Below are 5,649 nucleotides of genomic sequence, written 5' to 3' on the forward strand. Positions count from 1 at the left end.
ACAATAGTAAAGACTTGGAACCAACCCAAATGCCCATCAGTGATTGACTAGATAAAGAAAATGTGGCACATATACACCATGGAATACTATGCAGCCATAAAAAAGATGAGTTCATTTCCTTTGTAGGGACATGGATGAAGCTGGAAACCATCATTCTTAGCAAACTAACACAAGAACAGAAAACCAAACGCTGCATGTTCTCACTCATAAGTGGGAGCTGAACAATAAGAACACATGGACACAGGGAAGGGAACATCACACACCAGGACCTGTTGGGGGTTGGGGGGCTAGGGGAGGATAGCATTAGGAGAAATACCAAATGTAGATGACGGGTTGATGTGTGCAGCAAACCACCATGGCACGTGCATACCTATGTAGCAAACCTACACATTCGGCACAAGTACCCCAGAACTTGAAGTATAATAAAATAAAAAATTAAAAATCTAAAAACAATTTCTTAATGGTAAAAGTGCCTGAGAAATAAAGATAGAAAACTATTGCTCAAAATAAATAAATAAATGTTTTAAATCACTGAATTGTAAAGAAAAAAATGATATTTTTCATACCAAGCCCTAAAATGTTTACCACTCATTAACCCATACTAAAAGATTATTAAAGGATGGACTGTGCAAAAAGAAACAAATTCAAAAGGCCTGAGTTACAAGAAACAAAATTCATCATAAAACAAGTCTTAATTAGCTATTGACTATACAGGTTCTCCTAATTTTTGTTAACAAAATGTAAAAATTAAAATGAGATGAAAATAACAGGAGAGTTGCTCAATGACTAGTTACAGCATGCTAAGGCCTATGTCCTATACGGTAAGATTAAAATACTGAAAAATCTTAAACATTCTTAGAAAAATATATAGGTAAATATTTATATTTTAAAATTAAGAGTAGTATACTACCCCCCACTGCTAAATTTGACTGGCTAAAAAAATACGGGTAATTTGTAATGCATAAAATATTGGAGGGGAAAACTTAAAAAAAGAAAAATAAAGCAGAAAATACAAAATAAGATGATAGAAACAAGACATTATTGTTTGCAGTAGTATAAATCAGTAAACAATATAACAATTGCCAAAAGGAGAATGGATAAATGTTTGTACAGTTGTTCGATAGTAAACAATAAAGCAGGTCATGTGAATGAACAAGAGGAGCAGGTGTCAGTGGGCTACAGTCGAAGGAAAAAGAAAGTTTCAAAATATACATATGGTATGGTAATATTTATCTAAATTTCTAAAGTATAAAACCACAGGAAGGAAAGGGGAACTGAGATTGGCCAAACCTAACAAATTTGTCCAAAGTTAATATTTTCATCTATTGGTGATTTGTTGTCACAATTTCTTAGACTTTTCCAATTGTTTTATGAAAAACATTGTATGTGTTTATTTGGCATTCTTATTTTTTCAGATTTATTTAAAATTTTAAATTCTTTAAAAATATTTTTAAATTTTTACGAATACATAACAGTTGTACATATTTACAAGGGACATGTGATATTTTGATATAGTATATGATGTGTACTGATCACATCTGAGTAATTGTATATCCATCAGCTTAAATATAATTTCTTTGTGTTGGGAGCATTTCAAATCTTCTAGCTATTTTGAAATATATAATAAATTATTGTTAACTATAATCTCTCTATTGCGCTATTGAATAGAACTTATTCCTTCTATCTACATGTACTTTTGTACCCATTAATCAATCTCTCATCATCCTCTGATGTCTCTTCCTAGCATCTGGTAAACATTTTTCTACTCCTTACCTCCACGAGATCAATTTTTTTAGCTCTCAAATGATTGAGAACATGCAACATTGTCTTTCTGTGATTGGTTTATTTCCTTTAACTTAATGTCCTCTAGATCCATCCATGTTGCTGCAAGTGACAAGATTTTATTCTTTCTTATGGCTGAATCATATTCCATTGTGTATATGTACCACACTTTCTTTCTTTATTCATCCATCCAGTAATGAACACTTAGTTTGATTTCATATCTTGGCTATCATGAATAGTGCTGCAATAAATATGGGAGTGCAGATATCTCTTTTGGATATTTACCAAAAACTGAGATTGATGGATCATATGGTAGTTCTATTTTTAGTTTTTTTGAGGAAGTTTCATACTCTTTTCTATAGTGGTTGTATTAATTTACATTCCACTCACAGTGTACAAGCATTCCCCTTCCTCTGCAATCTTGCTAGCATTTATTTTGTCTTTTTGATAACAGCCATTTTAACTAGGGTGAAATGATAACTCATTGTGGTTTTGATTTGCATTTCCCTGTTGATCTTTTTTTCACACATTTTTTGTCCTTTAGTATGCGTTCTTTTGAGAAATGTCTATTCAGATCTTTTGGCTATTCTTCAATTGGATTATTTGTTCTTTTGCTATTGAATTGAGTTCACTATATAGCCTGGTTATTAATGCCTTGTCAAATGGATGGTTTGCAAATATTTATTCCCATTCTATAGGTTGTCCCTTTACTTCATTGATTGTTTCCTTTGTTGTGCAGAAACTTTTTAGCTTGATTTAATCCATTTTTCAATTTTTGCTTTGGTTGTCTGTGTCTGTTGTTCCCCTCTTTGTGTTCATGTGTTCTCATTGTTTAGCTCCCACTTATAAGTGAGAACATGTGGTATTTAGTTTTCTGTTCCTGCGTTAGTTTGCTAAGGATTATGGCCTACAGCTCCATCCATGTTGCTGCAAAGGACATGATCTCATTCTTTTTTATGACTGTGTAGTATTCCATAGTTTATATGTAAGAAAAGTTTTAGAGACATTGTCCCATGAACCCATTTAACAAACAAGAAAATTAAATCCAAGAAATTAAGTAAATTATCAAAGGTCACATAACCAGCAAATGGTAGCTTCAGGATTAAAGTTCATCTCTCTTGTCGTATACTTTTAACTGTTGGGAATTTGGAGTATGACCCATTGTGCATTTTTAAGAAGTTTCAGGAACATGGGTAATGGGAAAGCAGGATGTGCACACATAGTTCGGTTCTTCTGCTTTCTCTCCTGCTGTGTTCTTTCATATCTTTCACGTCATAAGAAAACCAATACAGTTGAAAAATCAGATAAATACTGAATCTTTGGTAGTTCTAAGTGATCAGATTCTCTGAGAGAATCAAAAACTCATATAATACAAGATTTTTATTTTTAATAATCTGGCACTTTCTCATTGAACTGTCTCATTATAGTCTAATATACAAATCAAACACAAAAAGGAAATAAGGATTTCTCGGGTTATAGTTACGACGATAAAGTGCCAGATTAAGAGCATAATCTCAGTAGGGCATAGAGGCTGACATAATAGGACATCATAAACAAAAACAGAACATAGTTTCCAAATAAGGAGAAAAAAAGAAGATTACTTTCAATTTTTAGTGTAATATAAAAACCTTAAAGACTAGCCTTAAAAATAAGCAGTGTGAACTTCTGGTGCTGGCCAAGATTGAGTAAGCCCAATATAGACCATCCCTCACTGATGATAACTAAAATCTGGACAAAATTTAAAAAGTAACTACTTGAGGACTTTGAAAAGTAAACAATAGCATGTAGATTGGGAAGGAACATCAAAACTTGAAGCACAACCCAACACAATCATGAGCTTTCTGTATTTCTGTATTTCTTTCTCTCCTTAATCTCCCAACTTTGACCTGAAGGTAAGCCAATTCTGGGAACTGCACAGTGGGTGTGGACAACAAAAATTACAAGAGAAACTACCTCTTTCTAGCCAAAAGACTGGGGAAGGGATGCAGCTGAATACTGGGGATCCCCTTTTGCAATGGACTGAATGTTTGCTCCACCCACAAAATTCACATGTTGACATCCTAACCTGTAAGGTGATGATATCAGGAGGTGAGGTCTTTGGGGGATGATTAGGTCATGGAAATGGAGCCTCATGATGAGGATTAATGCGCTTAATAAAAGAGGCCCCAGCTGAGCACGGTAGTGCACCTGTAATCTCAGTTGCTCAGGAGGCTGAGGCAGGATGACAGCTTGACCCCAGGAATTCGAGTTCAGTCTGAGAAACATAGTAAGACTCTGTCTCTAAAAAAAAAAAAAAGAGGCCCAAAAGAGCTGCATTGCTCCTTTCACTGTTAGAGCATGCAGTGGGAAGTCTACAGTGGGCAGCTCAGAAAAGGGCCTTCACCAGAGCCTGATCATGTTGGCATCTGTATCTTGGAATTCTGGCCTCCAGAACTGTGAGAAATAAATTTATATTGTTTTTAAGCCATGCAGTCTATGGAAATTTATTATAAGGGCCTGAGCAGATTAAGACATCCTTCCCTGTATTAGTCTGTTTTCATGCTTCTGATAAAGACATACCCGAGACTGGGCAATTTAAAAAAGAAAGAGGTTTAATTGAACTTACAGTTCCACATGGCTGCAGAAGCCTCACAATCATGGCAGAAGGCAAGGAGGAGCAAGTCACATCTTCCACGGATGGCAGCAGGCAAAGAGAGAGAGCTTGTCAGAAGCTCTCTGACATCTGTGAGATGGCATCTCATTTTGCTTTTGATTTGCATTTCCCTAATGATTAATGACATTGAGCATTTTTTATATGCTTGTTGACCAGATGAATGTCTTTTTTGAGAAGTGTTTGTTCATGTCCTTTGCCCATTTTTAAATGGGGTGATTTGTTTTTTGTTTGTTGATTTGTTTAAGTTCCTTATAGATTCTAGATATTAGACCTTTGTTGGATACATAGTTTGCAAATATTTAATCCTTCTCTGGAGGTTGTCTGTTTATTTATTGATAGTTTCTTTTTTTGTGCAGAAGCTCTTTAGTTTAATTAGGTCCCACTTGTCAATTTTTGTTTTTGTTGCAATTGCTTTTGGAGTCTTCATCATAAAGTCTTTGTCCAGACCAGTGTCCAAAATGGTATTTTCTAGGTCTTCTTCTAGGGTTTTATAAACCCTGGAAGAAAGATGCTATACCTAGAAGCCTAGAAGACTGTGGGTTTTTCTTTTCTTTTTTTTTTTTTTTTTTTTTTTTGAGACAGAGTCTTGCTCTGTCACCCAGGCTGGAGTGCAGTGGTGATGTTGGCTCACTGCAACCTCTGCCTCCCAGGTTCAAGTGATTCTCCTGCCTCAGCCTCCTGAGTAGCTGGGATTACAGGCATGCACCACCACGTCCAGCTAATTTTTGTATTTTTAGTGGATACAGGGTTTCATCATGTTGGTCAGGCTGGTCTCGAACTCCTGACCTCGTGATCCACCTGCCTTGACTTCCCAAAGTGTTGGGATTACAGGCATGAGCCACCATGCCCGGCCTTCTTTTTTCTTTTTTTTATTTTACTTTAAGTTCTGGAATACATGTGCAGAACGTGCAGGTTTGTTACATAGGTATACACCTGCCATGGTGGTTTGCTGCACCTATCAACCCATCATCTAGGTTTTAAGCCCTGCATGCATTAGGTATTTGTCCTAATGCTCTCCCTTACCTTGACTATGGGGTTTTCTTGGTATAGTATCACAACGTCTGCAAAGATAGTTTGACTTCCTCTTTTACTATCTGGATGCCTTTTTTCTTTCTCTTACCTGATTGCTCTGGCTAGGACTTCCAGTACTATGTTGAATGGGAGTAGTGAGAGTGGGCTTCCTTATCTTGTTCTGGTTCTCAAGGTTCTCAGAT

Source organism: Homo sapiens, chromosome 6 (assembly GCF_000001405.40).
Source record: "Homo sapiens chromosome 6, GRCh38.p14 Primary Assembly".
In the NCBI taxonomy this organism is placed as follows: Eukaryota; Metazoa; Chordata; class Mammalia; order Primates; family Hominidae; genus Homo; species Homo sapiens.